Source organism: Homo sapiens, chromosome 11, assembly GCF_000001405.40.
Source record: "Homo sapiens chromosome 11, GRCh38.p14 Primary Assembly".
Lineage (NCBI taxonomy): Eukaryota > Metazoa > Chordata > Mammalia > Primates > Hominidae > Homo > Homo sapiens.
The window spans coordinates 22,314,975-22,338,257 of record NC_000011.10 but is presented as its reverse complement, the minus strand read 5'-3'; the positions used below and the strand labels follow the sequence as shown (position 1 = coordinate 22,338,257).

The 23,283-nt window shown below is 38.2% G+C and overlaps 1 long non-coding RNA gene across 1 annotated transcript in view; it reads left to right on the top strand.

The window, feature by feature from the left end:
• The first annotated feature begins 35 nt into the window (after positions 1-35).
• SLC17A6-DT (SLC17A6 divergent transcript) overlaps positions 36-23,283 on the top strand; it is a 54,493-nt gene continuing 31,245 nt past the window's right edge. The window contains exon 1 of the long non-coding RNA NR_186351.1: positions 36-263. This is a non-coding gene — a long non-coding RNA (SLC17A6 divergent transcript). The remainder of the gene's footprint in view (positions 264-23,283) is intronic.

Here is a 23,283-nt window from a genome sequence, read left to right as displayed (position 1 = left end):
GGCAAAGAGCGCAAGCAGTGCCACGGTATTTGGGTAGATGCGGTTGAGTCCTTTTCCTGGAAGTCGGTCAGCTGAAAAACAATGTAAATTCCCGGTTTTGAAGACTTATTGCTCTCAAATCTGATGGCTTTTAAACGGAGGGGCCGGAATATCACAGAAGCCTTGGGAACAGCAAAGTCAAAAGAATGGTACTTTTAAAAATGGTGTCTTTGCTGTAAGGAGCAGAGCATATTCAAAACTCATGGGAGCATCTCAGGTCTCAGGTGAGCAATGCTGCTATTAGTTTTTCCTCTCTGCCCATGATCTCCTCCCATCACGCCAGCGTAAGTCTGCTCTGCGGTAGAGTCAAATTAAGATGGAGAAGGCTTGCTGCTCTTTGAGGACGTGAGTAAATAAAAGATACACAGTTCTGATTTGGGCAGCCTCGGGGAAGATTTTTTTTTTCAGCGGCTGACAGCGCCCGTCTGGGCGGGTCTCGGTACAATGTTTCAGCACCACGGACAGAGTAAGTTTCAGGAATAGGGGACTCTTCTTTTGGCTAGCTAGGTTGCCAACTTTCTAGGGGAGCTGGGCGGATCGCCCTGACCAAGGACCATACGGGGGCTCTTCAGGAACGGATGCTATGGAAACCATTGGGAAGATGTCATCATCTCCAGAGTTTGCAGGGAGAATGGTGCATTTAGCTCTGCTAGGGAAGACAACTTTATTAAAAATTCACAAGTTACTTCTAGTTTGCTACGTTTTGTCCAGCACGCTGATGCCAGTATTGCAGGGAAGAAAGATTTCAACATATTTAACTTATGCTTGTGGTGTTCCAAGACACCTAGGCTCCCTTGAATATAAAATATGTGCACACAAAATACATAATTACATTGTTCATGTGTTTGTTTTAACTCCTGACAGGAAAAAGATGAAAGAAAGAAAGGGAGAGAATGAAGAATAGAGGAAAGGAGAGATAAAGAAAAAGAGGTGGGAGGTATGGAGAGAAGAAAAAAGAATAGCTATAAACTCAGTGAAGTTGATTAAATAAAATACAGTTAATTTAATATAAATTCCTTGGAATTTTAAGCATCTTTATTTAACTAATTTACAATACACTACTGAAATACCAATATACTGATGAAATATGTGGCTATACCTTGTGCTTGCCAACAAATTGTAATTGATAATTTAAAGATTTATTTTTAAAAAGATTTATTTTAATTTACATATATTCCATTCAAATCTTATTTTATTTTTCTTTGTATGTCCTTCTCCTAAAGCATAAATTTTGAAAGACATTCATGTAAGAGTTTTGGCTTTATATATACAGGTACAGCATCAATGAATTTATCTCATTAAGCAAGCAAGAAAACTGCTAGATTAATGTAAATTATTAATCTCTTTCACATGAATCACAAACTTCTTAAGTACAATTCAGGCCAATGCTTACAGAACAGACTGGCCTTGAACCACATTTTCAAGGTCAAAACCTTGGATGTCACATAAGCCAACAGAGGGAGTCAATTTTACTTAGGATCCTGAGACAAAATCTCAAAAATATGGATCTAAATTGAGAATCAAATAAGAATATTACCTGAATAGTTCAAATGATATAATGGCTATGTATTCACTGAATGGATAGCTGGAAAAAAATGTCAAAGTAGCTAAAACCATCTGCCATTATTAAGTTTGATAGTTGTCAAATTATTTCCATTGTGAAATATAATAAAGAAAAGGATAATGAAGACATTTTTATCTTTTTTGATAAATTTGTGTTAAAATATGTATCTTCAATAAAACAGTGAATTTAATTTTTCTCTAAAACCATGGGATGCCTCAGAATACTATCTATTTCTCAAGATCAAGTATAAGGAGACAAAAAAAAAACCCTCATTAAACTATTTCCTTGCAAAAAAAAAAAGAAAAGAAAAAGATTAAAAGATTCAAGCTATTCAGGACTTGACTTATCTAGGTGTTTTCAAAATATCTGTATTTTTCAAATCTTTAATAACTAAGTTCATTAAATTATATTTATTTAGAGATATTAATGATTTTGGAATTCTGGGAAGTTATACAAAAAAATAGAATTTACAACAAATATTTGTGAAGCTGGGGTGATGATATGTAAATGATTTTCCTAAGCACTCCAGCTTAAGTTGCACCACAAATGACTAGAGATCTATCTAAACCATCAGTAAACATGATAGCTAAGTCTCCAATACACAAATATGAGGGGACACTAAGCAATATAAATCCAACACAAAAGCATTGTTTTTAAACAGTTATATTCACCTTTATTGAAATGAATGTCATCCTCCTCTCTCTTCCACTCTCTTGATAATAGGGTGAGCAACTGAATCAGAATAACTGGTAATATTGATTTACTCATTCTAAAAATATTCATTGAGTGTCAAGAATAATACTAGATCTGGGAATTCTCCCTGAAATATCTCACAAGCTACTTGGGAGATAGACACAAAAATACAATTTCAAACAATTATGGGTGAAATTACACAAGTTAAATAACCCAGCCCGGGAGTGAAAATGTCCAGAATATATTTCAAGAGACAATGTTTTCTTGTCTGTCTTAATAGTTAAAAGAAATGTAGTTCTATAAAGATGATGGCAGCCCAGTGGAGTTTGGCAGGGTGGAGTGGTGGTATTTGGATAGCACCCTAGCCAGAAGGGGTGTATTTAATGGTATTTTCATAAACAATGAAAAATGTTATGTGTGGAAAATTACAAGAAACGTTACTAGACCACCTGCGACTGAAGAATGTCATTTAGGCTGGCTTTAAACCCATAGCTGCTCCCAGTGTAAGAAACATATATTCAGACACCATTTGCTAACCCAACAGATTTTCTTCATGAGTGGACACAAATTGCAAACGCTGAACGTGTACTTTTGCAGCCCTAAATTCATCAGATTTATCTTTATGCAAAGAAACACTAGTAGTTATATGTAAGATATTAATTTAAGCATATCAGAAAAGGCTTCCTTTCTCTTGACACCCTCCTTTATCCCCAATAACTTACATCCAATTATAACAAGTCCTGAATTGCATTATTAGACCACTTTTCTTCTAGGGGAAGAATTGTCCCTCTTGTCAAGAACTGTTAACAATAAAAGGAGAAGTTTTCACTGAATATAACTAATATAATATGTGTGCAATATTACAATTTATGAGTAGCTTTTATTTACATGATAAACGTATTTATTCCTTATAATTATTCCTTAAACTAAAATAGTTGTATTCCCATGTTATTGAGGAGGAAAGTGAGATTTAGTAATTACCTGAAGTCATGTAACTGGTGATGAGAAAACAGCTCAGGTTAGAGGAGTTTCTCACAGTTTAAGGTCTTGTTAAAATACAGATTCTGATTCAATAGGTCTAGAGTGGTGCCCAAGATTCAACCACTGTAACACGTTTCTACAACTGCTTGCCTAAGGATCACATTTTGAACATCAACATCTCGGAGTATGAAATGTGAAATCAGTTTACCTGAGTTTGGGTCCTGGTTCCACTGATTATCATCTCTGCAATTTTGTATCAATCATCGAACACTAATAAGCCAGTTTGCTTACTGGCACAAATGAAGGCTTGTATCGTGTGGTTTCTATTATCCTTTCTGCTTGTAAAATTTTATGCCTTTTCATGACTTTAGATGAAAAGTCTTTAGATGTAAAAAGATGTAAAACTTATTTTCTTTTGTTTCTCCCATCCTAAGTTTTTTTTATTATATTTGAGTTAAATGATTAATAATAAACTGAAAAAATACTAATATGTAGAAATGTGCTTTCTGAAAGTTCTTTTTACATATTTAAAGAAGAGTTACCTTATTTGTTGTTTCACTATATGTATACACTGAGTTTTATAAGCAATTGTTTAAATAATTGTATCCATACTATTTTTCAAGATGTACATAAGGTATTAGCCAACAGCAATGTAATAGGTTTCTATTTGTTTATATCCCTGTGGGAGGAAATACTTTTGAGTAATCATTTAAATGTCTTGCAAATGTTGCCCTCTGGTGGAAGGATATGTTAATATTTTAGAGACAATTGTGGTCCTTAATTATGCAATTACACCTACTGTTTTCTCTCTCTTTCTTCTTTCTTTCTCTTTCTTTCTTTCTTTCTTTCTTTCTTTCTTTCTTTCTTTCTCTCTTTCTTTCTTCTTTCTTCTTTTGGATATTTGTTAAATTAAATCTACATCTGAAACTATAAAGTCTTTTTTGTGGGCAACACATTTGCAGTTGTCTTAGTACTAAATGTATTTAGAAATAAGTTGATTGAGAATCCCCCAGTTAACCAAAAAACTAGTACTAAAGGAAACTTCACTGTATTAAGATTTAGTAATGGTGTGGTAATCACATAGGTAAAAATGATATACAATAGAATAAATTGTGATAATTTTATAAATATTTTGAAATAGTAACATAAATTTGATGTTTTGCTCCCTATTACCAAAAATACAAACATGTTTTAAAGGCATTCTATTTAAGATCATTCAAAAACTATTTCTGTGGTATTTTTAAGGCAAACTGATTTTTAAGAAATACCTCAAGTACATACCTCAAGGTGGTGGTGTGCATCTGTAGTCCCAGTTACTAGGAAGGCAGAAGTGGGAGGATTGCTGGAACCCAGAAGTTTGAAGTGCATCTGGGAAATATACCCAGACCCCACCTCAAAAAGAGAAAAACGAACCTTAAGGTGACTGTTTCTGAGGCTATTTTGAATGCAACATCTTCAGTTTATTATTTCAAAAAATATTCACTCAATAGGTATTTTTATCTACTGTTGGCTAGGCCCTTTTCTGGGATATAGTAAATAAATGGACTCAATACAGTTTTATAGCTTTTTATATTATATGTAGAGAGTGGACATTCCTAAAGACAAAACTGCTTTGAAAAGCTTTTTTACAGTATGGCTTTATTTGACTTTGAATTCCTAAGTAAATGTTCAGCCTAATAATTACACACTTCTTTCAGTTCGAAGCTATACAAATAAGCCCTAGAATTCATCTGTGACTTTTTTCTTACCAAGGGTTTTTAAGCAGACAATTTTTAGTTCAGCTTTATTTGATTTTACTTTGCAGTGTTAGCCTCAGAGACAATTTCTAAGAAATTATCATTATATAATTTCCTTAGAGCTGGAAAGAGAAGAAATAATTCAGTTTGTCTTAAAAACGACAATCTGTGCACATAGCCCAATACTTTACACTGCTATATTTAGTGGCCTGGTGTAAGACGTCTTTTGACTTCTCTGTGAACTGTCTGATTAAAAAACTGGAAGCAGGAAGTATTAAATAAGCCTATATTGTTACCTCAAACATATATTTTAATTACCAAAAACACATGTATGTAGTCATATATGCAATGTTTCCTTTTCTCTGTGCATCTACTCTGTATTTATAATTTACAATGAGAAAAGTGTATACATCTTATTCTACCCTTTTATTTCTGCATTAATGGGAGAAAATAGCCTTAATTCACTACAGGCCATTGTGCCTTGGGAAAATTAAGATTTTAAAGTGAATGGAGAACAAATGCTGCTCCTCTAATGCCAGAAAAATATTTCTAACTTTGAATTCCACACTATACACGTAGAGCAACATGATAAATTACAGAAAGACTTTGAAAGCATCAGTGTCTTCAACTCTAAAAAAAATTCTTAAAGTAAAAGTTTTAATTGTATACAGAAAGTTTGAGAAAAATCTAAGAATAGAAAAGAACTGCAAATCTGTAAAGGAAGTAAAATAAATATACACTTCAGTATGAAGGAGATCAAGGCAGAGACCACCAGGACGTACGGTGTTTTACAGATAAATAAATAAATTGAATGACATGACAAAACATACCTAATTGAAATGTCTATCTAGGTCCCATAGGGATCCTATTTTGCCTTTACCATCCTAGATTACTGATTCTCTTCCTTTGGCTGCCATACATTTTGTTGTCACAAATGGTAAAATACCATCTTCTTTGAAGGAAGGCTTCTAATATTATTGAAATTTCCCACTTGGCTATTAGCATCTAGGAAGTTTCTGTTTAATTTCACACTATTTTCTAAGTTACTTACTCTACTAGAGGCAGAGGGTGGGATGGTTTCTACTTCTATAACATTTAGGGTAAAATTTTCCAAAGCAAAAAATCTAAATACATAGTTTTGGAATAGAACAGAACATAAAAGATCCAGAATATTTCACCGCTGTAAGCACAAGCTAATTATAATTTTGAAGAGGTAAAAAAATATATACAATAGTAGTCACTATTAATATTTCCTAACTGCTGCCCGCTAGTGGTAAAAACGAAAAATATTTATTTGAGTTAAAAGGCAGACCTACAACATTGACTTAAATCATTTGAAAATCAGTGGGTAAACATGCTTCCCATGATATTAACATTGTATGTGGCCTTTTTTCCTAGTACAAAGAAGAAAAGGTTGCTGATAAATCACTGAAAAAGCGTGCCACCACTTATTCTTTTGTGCCTGCTTGTGGACTTATAATAATGGTAAAGACACCATTATACTGTGGTGAGAAGCATACTGGGCAGATCTTATTGCATAGCATGAAGAGTGTTTGTTCACTCATTGCAGCTCTTTTGATATTGAGTGCTAATTCATTCAATTCGTTCCTTATGGAGAAACAGAGTCAGAGGTCTGATCAAACGACACTAAGTCCTGCTAACTAGACTGACTTTTCAAATTTTTCAGCCAATGACATTTTTCTGTTAATATTTCAGCCAGTTTGAGTTAAGATATCTACTGCTTGCAAATGCGAACATCTTGATATATCATCCTTTAGATATTTGATAGATGGATAAATGAATGGAAGAAGGATGGATAAACAGAATCAAAGTTTAGAATACAAAGTTAAAACACTGGAAAGAGGAAAGAATCATGTAAGAGTAATTCTAAACCAAAGTATTAGAAAGAAAGAATAGGCCCAGACAAAAGAAAGCCTTGAATTTTAGGGTTAAATTAAATTTTTATTTAACATTTCTAAGTTATGACTATGTGCCCGGTCTTTGTTGAGTACCAGAGAAACAGAGATAAGTAAGTCACAGATCTTGCTCTCAGAGAACTCAGATTTTTAACTAAGAATGTAAAACTTTTCTTATGGTCAATTGAAAAGTTTTTTAAAAATGTATAAGCAAATAAATAATTTGCTCAAGGACAGTAACATTCTTAGAAGTTTAATCAGGCAACTATGTGATAAATTGGGTAGAGAGATGGAGGCAGGGGTTTTAGTTCAGAAGATGACCATTGCAATAGTCTGTGTGTTAGCTGATAAAATATTTTTTAAAATTACTATTCTTCCCCATATAATGATGAAGCTTTCAACTCATTCAGGGGTGGGGAAAATTACCCATATACACACAGATGGTACACAAGGGCTGGAATTAGAACACAGGTCTTTTGCTTAAATCAATATGAAAATCGTAACTCAAATAATATTGGGAAATTGCTTCTGTGGGTTCATTTGATTTATAATAAGGATATTTGCTTTATCCTTAGCCCACTCTCCTATTTCATCTCTGTTATAACACCAAACATTAGGAAAAAAATTAACACACTTATTTGTGAGTAGAAAAGAAAAAAATGTCAATGACAAATGGTATCAATCAGCAACTCTAACTCATCCTACATTTTAGCCCAAGGTAGAAGATGCCCATTATGTAAAAATATCCTCCTCAGGGCAGATGATGCTCTCATGGATCTGATATGATGGACTCCTCTTGAGTTGAAATTTGTAAGCAAATGGACATTTACATTTTTACCATTTGTATTATTCTTTTAGAGAAAGTCTTTAAGGTTGAAATGGATCTTAAAACAAAATCAGAACATCCAAAATGTGTCAAACAGTAGCCCTGCCATTTGAGTGGAGCTCGGGTTTCTTACAGTGCTTTCTAAGAGGCTACAATATCAAAAGAGGGGACAGAAAGAGGGGAGAATTATTTTCAATAGCCCATTACTTCATATTACATCCATTATGTGAAGAGAAATTTTTGGCAATCACAGAATTTAAAGCACTATTCTAACATAGCAAGTAAGACAACAGAAAAGTTTCTTTAATCCATTACATATTTTATGTCTCAATTAGCTTTTACTTTCTCAAAATAATACATGTACCAAGATGTAAAGGTGAAATACTTTAAAAAAAAAAAAAAGAAGAAGCAGTTATTTCACTCAATCCATTTACTGGCAACTCTTGCTACTAGGAGTCATCGCTTTAGAGGAGAAAATTTGTGTGTGTGTGTGTGTGCGCGCACGTGTGTGTATCTTACAGCATAAAGGAGTGTTTGGCATAGAATTAACGCTGTATGTTTTAGCTATTATGATCATTATGCTGCTATTCGTTGATTTTCTTTTTTTTCTTTTCTTTTTTTTTTTTTTTTTTTGAGACGGAGTCTGGCTCTGTCTCCCAGGCTGGAGTGCAGTGGCGCGATCTCAGCTCACTTCAAGCTCCGCCTCCTGGGTTCAGGCCAGTCTCCTGCCTCAGGCTCCAGAGTAGCTGGGACTACAGGGCCCACCTCCACACTCGGCTAATTTTTTGTATTTTTAGTAGAGACGGGGTTTCACCGTGTTAGCCAGGATGGTCTTGATTTCCTGACCTTGTGATCTGCCCATCTCGGCCTCCCAAAGTGTTGGGATTACAGGCGTGAGCCACCACGCCCGGCCTGTTCGTTGACTTTCAATATTTTACATGTCTGTTGACATCTTCCTATGAAAGATGAGGAACTAAATTTAATTCTCTATCTCTCTTTCAACTGTCTCTCCCTCTTCATCTCTCTTTCCATCCCCGACATTCACATCCTATCCTCTATCTTTTAACTAGTTTTATTGAAATCAAAATTCTGTTTATACAATTAGTATTGTTAAGCAATTGTCTCAAGGTCACACAATTCAGTGGCAGAGTTAAAATTGTAACTCAAGTAGCCCACTTCTTATTGCTTACAACCCAACCATAGGGTTGCTTTGTTTTCATTTCCTTTTGCTTTTTTTTTTCGTTTTCTTTTACGGAGTTTCTGTCTAGTTACCCAGGCTGGAGTGCAATGGCGTGATCTCGGCTCACCGCAACCTCCGCCTCCCGGGCTCAAGCGATTCTCCTGCCTCAGCCTCCCGAGTAGCTGGGATTATAGGTATACACCACCACGCCAACCTTTTTTTTTTTTCTCTTTGGTAGAGACGGGGTTTCTTCATGTTGGTACGGCTGGTCTTGAACTCCCGACCTCAGGTGATCCGCCTGCATTGGCATCCCAAAGTGCTGGGATTACAGGCATGAGCCACCGTGCCCAGTCCATTTCCTTTTTTATATAGCATTTCCCCACCCCAGGGTTTATAATTGCATTTCTATTTGTTAATGTTACCTTATGTTTCTGTATTTCTGTCATTAACCCACCTCAAAATGATCCAGGAGAACTATAAAATTCCCTTAATATAATCAGACTTGTCAGATAATATATCAATTCTACTTTTTTTCACTAGATGCTTTCCTCTTGGAGCTCTCTGCCCTTCTACTTCAGTTTGAACTAAACGCCCTCTATCCTGCTACACAGTTGTTGATTTGGGGTCCTCCATCACCATCATCTTGGGAGATCCCCTCCACTTCTCTTCTATGTCACCCCCTCGCTTTCTGGATCCCATAACTTTCTGGATTATATACTCCTGTAGTTTCCTTAAACAGGGGCCTGGGATGTAAACTCTGAAAACTTGTGTATCTGAAAATTGATTTTTTTTTTTCCTTTTCATACTTGATTGATAGCTGTTTTGCTTCTATGAATCTAAGAACAATAATGTTTTTCTATTTTGTCAGTTTTGTCCCATTACCTGTTATCTTCTAGTATTGCTATTGGGTAGACTAGTACCATTCTGATTCCTGAAGCCTCATGTATGCTTTTAATCGTAAATCTCTCTAGAGACTTTATGATACTCTATCTCTAGGGTTAAGAAAATTTATGACATCTTAAGAAGAGGCTTTTTAAAATGTAATCTTGTGCTTGTCTCTCAGAGGCCGACCCTCTCATATCCTTCAAATCTGGAAGTGAGCTAGATACGGTGTCTCATTTCTGTAATCCCAGCACTTCTGGAAGCCAAGCAGGAGGATTGCAGGTTCCTCAAGGCCAGGAGTTTGAGACCAGCCTGGGCAACATAGTGAGACCCCATGTGTACACTTTTTTAAAATGGGCTGGTTGTAGTGGTGGGTGCCTGTAGTTCCAGCTACTCAGGAGGCTGAGATGGAAGGCTAACTCGAGCCTAGGAGTTCAAGGCTGCAGTGAGCTGTGGTTGCACCACTGCACTCCAGCCTGGGCCACAGAGCAAGACTTCATCCCTTGGGAAAAAAAATAAAAACAAAAACAAAAAACAAACAAACAAAAAAAAAATGGAAAATGTTCTTACATCATCTCCTTAATAATTTCCTTTCCTCTAATTTCTCTATTCTTTCTCAAAACCTTGTCAGTTGGATATTCGCCATTCTGGATTGATCTTCAGTTTTTAAAATCTTATTTCTAATTGTTTATTTCTTTTGATGCTTAATTTTTTCAAAAATTTTCTTCTTTTTCTTCCAAACCATTAATTTTGAAGTTTCTACTAATATATTTTTAATATGCAAGAGCTGTTTATTTTTTAATCTTTCTTTTTTTCAATAGCATCTTATTTTTGTTTTAAGGCTACACTATCTTTTCTCCCTGAAAATGTTAATTTTAGTTGTTACTATTTTAATTTTTTTCTGGTCTCTTCCAATTAATTTTCCCATGTTTGATTAGCTTGTTTTAGCTTCTTTTAGGGTCTTTCCTTAAATACTTAGTGGTCCTTAGGTGTTCATTTGTATATAAGAGCAAGGCACTGTGGGTATATAAGATTTGTTAACTGGGATTATTTTGACAGTCCTTTACTTGTGGGCCTCAGATAGCAATAAATTCATGCCTTTTTCTGAAGTTGATAAGCTTCTCTATATAGGAGTTCTTCAGCCTCTTTCCTAGAGATGATTAGACATCTGGCAACCAGCATTCTAGAAACTAAGTAGAAAGGAAGTTGAGGATAGAGTCTTACCATTCAGTATGCAACCTTCGATTTTTCTTCCTGATTTCAGTAAGGCATCCAACCCCACACCTCAGCAATGCCTGCTGTTCTTGAGGACTGGGTTTACGTGATTCACTCTGAAGAGATAAGCTTCTGTTTCTACCATGATTGGTGAGGTCTGTTTGTCTTACTGCATAGTCTGGGCTAGGTGTAAGTCCTCTTCATGTAGACTTGCAGCAAACCATCCTGTTTTTAGCCTGGGCCCACAATCCTGGTAATTCCAACTCCCAAGCTTTTCCATGGTTTGTGCATGACTTGAATTGCTTTCTGCCAAAAGGCATTTAGGTTTCATCTTTCTTCACTATCTAGGTCACTTTCCCCTTATCCGTCAGCTTTCCATCTTCTAAAATCCTGTTAACATCTTCTAAATGCTATGGCTTCATCTGCCATTCTCTTTCATAGCTTTTCAAAAACTGCTTTTCTATCATTTTAGTGAGTCCCAGGAGAAAGTGGACACAAACTCATATGCTCAATCTTCCAGATTTAATTGGAACTCTGTGTCCATTCATATTTACCCCTGAAAAAGAGATGTAAACTCTGAAAACTCGTGTATCTGAAAATTGATTTTTTTCCTTTTCACACTTGATTGATAATTGTTTTACTTCTATGTGTAAACATAGAAGCAAACATCTCTTTTTCAGGGCTAAAAGAAACATAACACACAGAAAAATTCTAATATTTCAGTTTATACAAGTGTTAAATTTCCTTATTCTGACTAAGACTAGATGACCACATGCAGAATTTTGAAGCATTTTATTTCTAGGGAAGGCTACTTCTCCATCATCATCTTAACTCTTCTCTTTCTTGCTCTTATATACCATGAACACAGGCCAAGTGTGTCCCTGTGTTAGTGCCTTTTCACTGGTTTGCTATCATATTATCCTTTTTAACTTTTCTTTATTCTACAACTTTTCACTATCTAAAGTATCTTATTTTTCTAATTACTATCTGTTTTGTTTTCCTATTGCTGTTGTGAGGAAGGGCCACAAACTAAGTAACTTACTAAAACACAAATTTGCCACAAGTCTGTAGATTAGAAGTCTGACATAGGGCTTCCTGGGCTAATGTCATGCTGTCAGCAGGGCTTCATTCTCTGGACACTCTAGAGGGAATATATCCTTGCCTTTTTAGCTTCTGGAGGCTGCCTGCATTTCTTGACTTGTGATACAACCAACCTCCGAGTTAACAAGCAAGACGTCTGCTTTCATTATCACATCTCCTCCTCTGTCTCTACTGCCTCTCTCTTTCACCCATAAGTCCCCTTATAATTTCACTGGGCTCAGCCAGATAATCTAGAATAATTGCCATACTTCAGGATCCTTAACAAAATCACACCTGCAAAGTCCCCTTTGGCACATCAGGTAATGTATTCACAAGTTCTGGGGATCTTGAAGAGAACATCTTTGGGAGGCTATTATTCTGGTTGCCACAGTATCTGTTGGTTCTTTGCTTTGTTTTTTGTTCTGCCTTCCTAAGTCAACTAGAGAAAACTTATAAATGGCAGGAACTGTGCCTACCGTATGCAGAATTCTATTTCCAGCACATGGAATATATTCCCTGCAAAGTGCTTAATGTTTTTTTTTTTTAAGAAATGAATGTTTATTTTTTGTTGAACTTATTCATATATTTCTGTTTAACAGCATATGGAAGAACAGCTTAACACCTCTCAATCGTTGTTCCTACTCATTCAGTGGCCAGAACAGTGGGAGCTGCAGACCAGTCTTCAGTGGTAGGCTTGTTACCAGTGGAGGGTGTCCAGGTTCTTGGCATATTGAACAAAGTGAATTCTTGGAAGGAATTTGAGAATATCCTCGTCCTTCATCTATAGGACTCCAGACATTGTGAAAGTGTCCATTTAAGTTACTGTGGGAACACAGGACAATGTCAGATGGACCCTCTTTGGGTAGCATGGAAAAGGCTCAACAGGTATTTTTTGAATAAAAGAATAATTGAGGTTTGATCATAGAGTTGTTTTCCAAGGAGTGAATGGATTTTGTCCCCCTCTCTTGTGGCATTTGTCTCCCTAAATGGATACCTGGTCACTAATCTCTCCTAGTCTCCAGTCCATTGTCACATTCTTGAGGAATTCATCTCCCTGAAGAAAACCCTGATCATTCACTTGTTTTAGCAAAATTTTACAGGACTTTAATCTATTTAAGGAAAAATTTCCCAGCTCCTGACATTTGCTTATTAGTCAGCAACTGGTCTGAATCTACAATTTTAAATTGATTTCTCACTTTTCTCTCTTACTGTTCTATGCACTCTGACAAACTGGAGTCTCTATTACATACAGAAACTCCATTCCCTGATCCTTTGTCTTTAAGCTCACTATTATTCTCACCCATAATGACATTGTCTTTGCCTCCACTTATCAGTGTCCATCATTACTGATCATTCAAAACCCTATCAGATACATTTTCTTGAATTAAGTTTCCTCCTTTATCCTCCCATTAGAAATTGGAATCTAATGCTGTCATTGGTAGAAATGCACAACTTTGGAGAAGGTAATTCAAATTATTTAAGACTCATTTTATTTATCTAAGTGGAAAGAATTATATATACCATTTTCAGATTAAATAATGCATGTAAGCCACCTCTCAGTGTCTGACACATAAGTATACTTAATATATGGGAGTGGCAATTATTGTTCTTTATCTAAATTTTTTATATCACACATCAGTTTCTACCTTGCAATCTTTGAAAATGGGGTCTATATTTGCATAATCTATATTGTTCATAACTCTTGCCAAAATATCTGACACATAGTATAAACAGTAAAAATGGTTGAATAAATAAAACCTCCTAAACTTTGTTACAAGGCTGTTCTGTAGTAAAGGGTGTTGCATTAGTTCCCTGGAGCTGCCATAAAAATTACCACAAATTCAGTGGCTTAAAATAACATGAATTTATTCTCTCATAATTTAGAAGGCTAAAAGTCCAAACTCAAGGTATCAGTAGGATTGGTTCTTTCTGTGAGGGAAAATCATTCTATGTCTCTCCTACCTTACAGTGGTTGGTGGCAGTCCTTGCAGTTCTTTAGCTTAGAGATTTGTCATTCCAGCCTTTGCCTCTAACTTTACACTGCTTTCTTCTCTGTGCTTTTGTGCCGTCTCTTCTTATAAGGGCATAATGAGTCATTAGATTTAGGGCATACACTAAATCCAGAATGATTTCTTCTCAAGGCCCTAATTACATCTGTAAAGGTCCTATTTCCAAATAAGGTCACATTTTAAGGTTTTGGGTGAACATGAATTTTGGGGGGATACTATTCAAGCCATGACAGTTATACACAAAGTTCCTCCCCACTTAAAAAATTGCATTTATATATTTAAGAATATAATTTTAGAGCTAGACTGTCCAGGTCCAGGCACCTGCCCATCCTTACTGGATATAAGGTTTAGGCTACGTTACTTTAATTATGCCCAGTTTCTCTTTCTGAGTAAGCAAAATGAGGATAATGGTATCTACCTGGAAGGGTTTCCATGAGAGTCAAAAGATATAATCCTTGTAAAGGGCTTCGTATAGCCTGGTTGTCACAAATCCATCAATAAATGCTTATTGCTTCTTTCCTTTACCTTTTATGAGGTGGGTCCCTCTGCCTGGGAAACTCACCACCACTCTCACTTTTTACCTGACTAAATCCTTATAAACATCCGTGTCTCTGCTTAGGTATCACTTTCTCGGGGAGGCATTTTCTGACATCCTCAATAGAATCTAATCACCCACAATACCTGTTTTCATCCCTTATCACAATTATATAACGATTGATTGTTACAATCAAATCACAATGAAACAAATATAAGAGAGTTAATATTTAATATCTGGTTCCCTGATAATGATGTACATCTCATAGTGACAAGAATTCTGTTTATTTTGATATAAACTCAGATTGCTTGAAATTGAGCTCGGTTTCTTCACTTTTTCTGCTTGGATAAATTCCTAAATCTGCTTAAATCTCAGTTTCTTCATATGTAAATGGTGATAATAATATTAATTATTTCAATCAAGTGTTGTGAGCATTAAATGAAATTCTGTTTATAAAACACATAGTTCACTGTACCTGGCACATCCTCCTAAGTGCCTACAACTTGCTAATTAGTATTAATATTTTTTCAACTCTTGGCACTAGCCAGTTAAATGAATGAATTAATACTGAATGAATGAGCCATGTTATTGGCCTAATCTAGAAATACAATCTGTGCGACAGCATTGTGTGAAAATTCAATAGGTTCGAGTTACTTTGTCCTCATTAGAGGCTTTCTCCAACCAAAGGGACTCGAAACCCCAGGGGAGGAACTGACTAACACCACCGCCCCCAAATAATTTCCTGTATTATAACCCCTACAATCCTATTTAGAACCAGAATTGAAAAAATAAAGGAAGGTTCGAAGAATCCAATTTGTTTCTAGCCCTAAGGTGGTCTTTCAGAAATGGAGAAAGGCTTCTGGGAAGGTAGTAAACAATATCAGGCTAAGGCAAGTTTTGTTCCTTAGCAGGTGAAGCATGCTTAGAGAGAATAATACTTTGGTGTGAGGAGAGATGGAAACTCATCAGGACTTTGCAGATTTTAACGTGTATCTCTATGGTCTAGGACAACAACACTGTTGAGTAAACATTAAAAAGTAGCTTTAAAGTTTAAAAGAAAACTGTTTCCTATCTAAGAATAAATTGGTGCTCTAGAATAAATATGCCCATTGAGGAACACATTTATTTCCGCATTGCCTTTGCGGTAGAGACAATTTAGTGGCATAGCTTTGCCATCAGACTGACCTGGTTTAAAAATCTGGTAGAAATGTCACTTTCTTTTTAAAGTGAGTCATGAATCACACAGATTTTAAATCTACTTTTTGGAGGCTGACAGTTTGATGGTTGAAGTCATTTATATTTCTTTAAATAGAAGGAGCTGAAACAACGACAATTTTTGCTGAGCCACATAATTTTAGAACTTAAGCCCAAAGCTCTCAGTTCACCAGTGATAAAACTGAGGAGCAGAGAGGTTACTTGATGCATCCAGGGCCACATCACAATACCCACACTGGTATTTTAGATTCAGAGTTGAAAACCAGGTCTATTGTGCACTTGCCAGAGACTCTCTCCTTACCTTGGCTCACTTACTAAGGAAAGCTGTTTCGTTTATAGTTAAGATGCAAGATCATCCAACTCCTGGACTGGAAGAGCTTTGAGGATTTATTTCATCTGATTACTGAGTTTCAAGGTCACAGTTCTTTTATCTCCAATATGCAAGAGTCTATTTTTAGATTTTATTTGTATAGTGACCCAGGAAATATTATAGACTGTCACTCTCTTTCTTAGTAACAAACTGTGTTTAATAACTGGAAAGGATATGTGGATAAAATACAAAGACATTTTTATGTATAGAAACACACACTATATATATATTTTTTAATTTAGGAGGAGGCATCTGACTTCCTTAGCTCCACCTCTGTTCTTGTTACTCCCTCAATTGAGAATGTATTACCCAGAAAAAATTTAGAACATCAGTTAGGCCACATGTACCACTTGAGCACGTTACTGACCTAAAGTATCAAGCACTTCTTTTGCCTTTTATACCTTTGTCATTAATGCAACTGAGGGAGTAAGTTAAGCAGATATGGCCTTCTTGTTTCCTTTGTTTTGTAATTCTTCTTTCATATGGCTGTACAAAGCTTGGTACAAATTTAAGAATTAGATGGAGAGGAAGGCATCCAGTTTCACCCACAAGCTCCATCCAGCTGCATGTCCCATCTCAAAGGTCTGTATATGGACACCTAAAGTTTAACACCTATAATAAAACTTTTAATAAAGGGGTTGTTTGGTTTATTTTTGGAAACTAATGTATGAAATTCCTACAGAGGAGGGGGATCATTATTAGTAGGACAAAATTTAGGCATTTTTTAGGTTCTTCAATATATTTCCATTAAAACGCAATTAATTCATTTACACAAAGAATATTTATTAAGCATCTTCTATGTGCCAGACTCTATTCCAAATACTGGAGATAAAGAGGTGAGCAAGACAGACAATTTTCCATCCTGATGGAGCTTTTATTTTAGTTGGAGAGACAAAAACAAACAAATATATCAATATGTCATCCAATTTCCAAAAGCATTGTGTAACTTTGATCATTTATCAAGATTTAGGTACTGCTTGAAGTATTTCTGAATGATATATCATTTCTTCCTTATTAAGTAGGTATATAATAAAGTATAACATGATATAATATGTTATACTACTATACTACATAATATAATAATGCAATATTTCGTAGATGATAAAGCTACAAATTATCCAAGTTTCCACTGCTCTTCAGTGTCTGAACTAGAACCTAAACTCAGAGTCATCTGAATCAAACTACATATAAGTGAACTGATATTTTTCATTTACCATTATTATGAAGCAATCACAATGTCTTGGGTGCTATGAAAATAGTGGAAATATAAAGATAAATAGGAATGGTCTTTACTATCAAGAAACAGCCAGCTGGTAGAGGAGACAACTGTACAAGTAAATTATTGTAATGATGTGCTATAAGAACTGCGGCTGAGAGCTGTAAAAGGGGCAGTGGGAGAAAAAGCAGAGAAACAAAGTGATGCAAATTGCTAAGAAGACATGGTTTCCGAGTTGCATCTATCACTGTGTTGAATAACCATTTACATCTGAGTGCCATTGCGTTTAGAGTAAGGCAGTTATGAGATTGCAGTGGAAGGAAGGAGACAAGTCACCAGTCTTCTAGATAAAACTTTGTTTCTAACTCACAATATGAGAAACAGCTAAAACCTCTAATATTCTGAGGGTTTGTTTTTCATGTATTTTTTTTTGTATTCACAATCAAATGAAACACACCTGCCTTATCCCCCCCATGGAGCTGTATGCTATAAATACAGGATAACTTCTTTGCTGTAATAGTAGAATAAGAAGTGAGGAGTGATTTGGCAAAAGATAATGTATCATAAGAATATGCAGCATGTTTAATATTCATAAATATTATTAAATAACTTTTTCACTTTTTAATGTTCTCTCTTCTAGGCCAAATCATTCAGCCTGTCTTCACACAGCCTGAGTACAGTTATTTATATAAAAACTGTTTCTCTTGTGCCATCACTTTTTCACTGTGTGTCATCAGTTTTTGTTTGGAATTTGGCATTATTTCTATAGAGTTTTGTTCTCCTTCCTTATACATGTCATCCATATATTTATCCATTCTTTCCTTTATTTTACTTTGATCAAAGTATGAGTGTTTTGTCTGATTCTGCCTTTGCAAATTTAAAAACTGCTCTAAAAATTATTCTTGTGCATTCCAAAAATTCGAACAGAAGAATAAAATTCTAAATTCACCTAGAAACCTACTACCAAGATATAGCTCCCGTTTACATTTTGAAAGCTCTCTCTCCATACTGGTAATTCCCAGGCTTTAATATGCCTCAGAATTACCTAAGAAGCTTTGTAACACTGCAGAGTCCCTCAGGCCTTCACTCCTAGGGGTTGTGCCTTAGTTCATTCAGAGTGAGTCTAGTATTCTGAATTTAAAATATCAGGAGACTTTTTAAAATCTGAGGCAATTCTGATAGTGATGATCTGCATACCATATTTTGAAGAAAAAAGAAAACAACAAAACTACTGCTACAGACAACATCCTGTGCCAATGTAGGAAAAGGTATACAAATTCACACAGATGTTCTTGCGGTAGATATCACTGGTTGACTCCTCCGATGCGATTTTCAACTTATTTCCCCCGGAGTTGGGAATCCCAGTATTAATTTTTCTAATCTCCTCTGCAGCTACAGTTGGCCATGTAACCCAGTTTTTTCCCAGCAAGAGCTTGTGGGAAATCTAATCTGTTTTCTGATAAAACAAAAAGGTACAGGAGCAAACTGATTGTCACTGCTCCCTTACACTTTGAAGTACATGTTTATATTTGTAACTATCCATCATCTTTTGGATTGCCTAGCATAGAAGTTAGGATCTTGTAACTGATCAGGCGTACAATCTAAGCCCCATCAGACACCCTCATGAGGATGATTTGAAAGGAAGCACTGTTTAGGAAACAGCCTCTGTGTGGAGTTTCCACCCTGTTATAGGTGGTTGATGGTTGAGGTATCTGGATTTAGGCATCATCAGTGGCAATGATGGCAGTTTCCTAGTGATAGTAAGATAGGGTAACCTACTAATACTGGTAGAAAGATAGGGTAACCTACTAATCTTAATCCTTAGTTTTGCTACTGGAAGTCTTGTGTCCCTAGGAACTCCCTTAGTCACAGGCAAACCTGAACAGTTGGTCACCCTGTGGCTACGATGAAATTCCTGAAACAGGTGTGGCATTAGTTTGGTGCAAAACTAATTGCGGTTTTTGTCTTTTAAAAGTAATGGCAAAAACCACAATTACAAGTGCACCAACTTGAAAGTAAGTGCAAGTTTCAGTGAAAACAAATTCCTAAAATTTAGAGCTAAACAATGGCAGTAGCTGTAGTTTCCATACTGTTTTGTGATGGGACTTGGGGATTTTTTCTCCTGAGAGCTGAGACTAGGCCCTGTTTTCCACCAACCTCCCAGTGGTTTCATGGGGTGCTGAATAGATTGTAAACCATTTTTAAGCTTAAACTAGCAGGGATGAATTCGTTGTTTTCAACTAAGGTACCTGACTAATGCTCTTTACTTTTGCTTTAAATACCACCATGGCATCTAGAGCTAGAGTAGTCATCTTATAATATGAAAAGATGAGAATGAGGATAAAAATAAGCAGTTAAGGAAGGCAAAGTGGAAAGGAAGAATGAGCTTGTGTTCTTGCTGGTATAATTGAAACAATGAACAAGTCTTGGAACTGCCTATCCATAAGACTTCTTTTATCTGAGATAATATATGTCTGGTTTTGAGAGACAGGAGTAGCTGGACTTCCTAGGCCAACCAAGAATCCCTAAGCCCAGCTGGGAAGGTGACTGCTTCCACCTTTAAACACGGGGTTTGCAACTTAGCTCACATCTGATGCTAATTAGGCAAATGCTAGTTAGGCAAAAACAGGAGGTAAAGAAATAGCCAATCATCTATTGCCTGAGAGCACAGTGGGCGGGACAAGGATTGGGATATAAACCCAGGCATTCGAGCCAGCGACAGCAACCCCCTTTGGGTCCTCTCCCTTTGTGTAGGAGCTCTGTTTTCACGCTACTAAATCTTGCAACTGCACTCTTCTGGTCCGTGTTTATTACGGCTGGAGCTGAGCTTTCACTCGCCCTGCACCACTGCTGCTGGCTGCCGTCACAGACCCGCCACTGACTTCCATCCCTCCGGATGCGGCAGGGTGTCCGCTGTGCTCCTGATCCAGTGAGGCGCCCAATGCCCCTCCCAATCGGGCTAAAGGCTTGCCATTGTTCCTGCACGGCTAAGTGCCTGGGTTTGACCTAATCAAGCTGAACATTAGTCACTGGATTCCACGCTTCTCTTCCATGACCCACGGCTTCTAATAGAGCTATAACACTCACCGCATGGCCCAGGATTCCATTCCTTGGAATCAGTGAGGCCAAGAACCCCAGGTCAGAGAACATGAGGCTTGCCACCATCTTGGAAGCGGTCTGCCACCATCTTGGGAGCTCTGGGAGCAAAGACCCGCCAGTAACATTTTGGTGACCACGAAGGGACCTCCAAAGTGGTGAGTAATATTGGACCACTTTCACTTGCTATTCTGTCCTTCCTTAGAATTGGAGGAAAATACCGGGCACCTGTCAGCCAGTTAAAAATGATTAGCATGGCCACCAGACTTAAGACTCAGGTGTGAGGCTATCTGGGGAAGGCCTTTCTAACAACCCCCAACCCTTCTGAGTTGGGGATGTTGGTCTGCCTGGAGCCAGCTTCCACTTTCAATTTTCTTGGGGAAGCCGAGGGCCGATAGAGGTAGAAAGCTGTCATCCTGAACTCCTGGCTGGTTGAGATCATGGTGCAGCCAGAAGTCTCTACTCAACAGTCGCCCATGTGTGCGCCTTACCTTTTCTTCTGACCCATACCTCCTAGGTCCCGACACTTCTTGAAAGTGTAGCCCCAGAATTCTCCTTACCTCTGAATCTACTTCCTCTGATCCCTGCCTCCTAGGTACTAATGGTTCAGACTTTCATTTCCTCTAACAAGTTGTATCTCCAAAGGGATCTAAGGAAGCTCTATGCTGCGTCCTTAGGCATCTAGATGATAAACCCAGGGAGTCTTATCCCTGGTGTCCCTCCCAATTTAGGTATACAGCTCTCGACATGGGCAGTTATGTGGGACTGTTCCCCACCACCCTTGCCAGGGCCCCAAGTTTGTAAATGGCTGAGAGAGGAGAGAGGGAGAGAGACGGGAGAGAGAGATGGGGGAGAGAGAGAGAGACAGGGAAGAGAAAGAGAGATGGGGGAGAGAGAGATGGGGAGAGAGACAGAGGTGGGGGAGAGACAGAGGCAGGGGAGAGAGAGAGAGGCAGGGGAGAGAGAGAGGCACAGGGGAGAGACAGGCGGGGGGAGAGAGAGGCAGGAGAGAGACAGAGGCAGGGGGAGAGAGAGAGGCACAGGGGAGAGAGAGGCGGGGGAGGGAGAGAGAGAGGTGGGGGAAGGGAGAGAGAGAGGTGGGGGAAGGGAGAGAGAGAGGCGGGGGAAGGGAGAGAGAGAGGCGGGGGAAGGGAGAGAGAGAGGCGGGGGAAGAGAGAGAGAGAGGCGGGGGAAGAGAGAGAGGAGGGGGGAGAGAGAGAGGCGGAGGGGGGAGAGAGAGAGGCGGAGGGGAGAGAGAGAGACGGGGGAGAAAGAGAGAGACGGGGGAGAAAGAGAGAGATGGGGGAGAAAGAGATGCGGGGGAGAGAGAGAAGCACAGGGGAGAGAGAGAGAGGCGGGGGGAGAGACGGGCAGGGGAGAGAGAGTGGCACGGGGAGAGAGAGAGGTGGGGGGAGAGACAGGCAGGGGAGAGAGAGAGGCACAGGGGAGAGAGAGAGAGAGAGAGGCACGGGGAGAGAGAGAGGCAGGGGGAGAGAGGCAGGGGGAGACAGAGAGAGAGAGAGGCAGGGGAGACAGAGGCAGGAGGGAGAGAGAGAGGTGGGGGGAGAGAGAGAGAGAGAGTTTGGTGATCTCTGGTATCTCAGTCAGGTCAATGATAGGATGACAAAGAGGAAAGAACGATTCCCCACAGGCCAGCAGTGTAGACCCTCACTGGGACACAGAATCAGAACATGGAGATTGGTGCCACAGACATTTGCTAACTTGCATGCTAGAAGGACTAAGGAAAACTAGGAAGAAGCCTATGAATTATTCAATGATGTCCACTATAACACAGGGAAAGGAAGAAAATCCTACCGCCTTTCTGGAGAGACTAAGGGAGGCATTGAAGAAGCATACCTCCCTGTCACCTGACTCTATTGAAGGCCAACTAATCTTAAAGGATAAGTTTATCACTCAGTCAGCTGCAGACACTAGGAAAAAACTTCAAAAGTCCACCTTAGGCCCCGAGCAAAAATTAGAAACCCTATTGAACTTGGCAACCTCGGTTTTTTATAATAGAAATCAGGAGGAGCAGGTGGAATGGGACAAACGGGATTAAAAAAAAAAAAAAAGCCCACCGCTTTAGTCATGGCCCTCAGGCAAGCGGACTTTGGAGGCTCTGAAACAGGGAAAAGCTGAGCAAATCAAATGCCTAATAGGGCTTGCTTCCAGTGTATTCTACAAGGACACTTTTAAAAAGATTGTCCAAGTAGAAATAAGCTGCCCCCTCATCCATGCCCCTTATGTCAAGGGAATCACTGGAAGGCCAACTGCCCCAGGGGAAGAAGGCCCTCTGAGTCAGAAGCCACCAACCAGATGATCCAGCAGCAAGGTACTGAGGGTACCAGGGGCAAGCGCCAGCCCATGCTGTGACCCTCACAGAGCCCCGGGTGTGCTTGACCATTGAGGGCCAGGAGGTTAACTGTCTCCTGGACACTGGTGCGGCCTTCTCAGTCTTACTCTCCTGTCCCAGATGACTGTCCTCCAGATCTGTCACTATCCGAGGGGTCCTAGGACAGCCAGTCACTAGATACTGCTCCTAGCCACTAATTTGTGACTGGGGAGCTTTACTCTTCTCACATGCTTTTCTAATTATGCCTGAAAGCCCCATTCGCTTGTTAGGGAGAGACATTCTAGCAAAAGCAGGGGCCATTATACACCTGAACATAGGAGAAGGAACACCAGTTTGTTGTCCCCTGCTTGAGGAAGGAATTAATCCTGAAGTCTGGG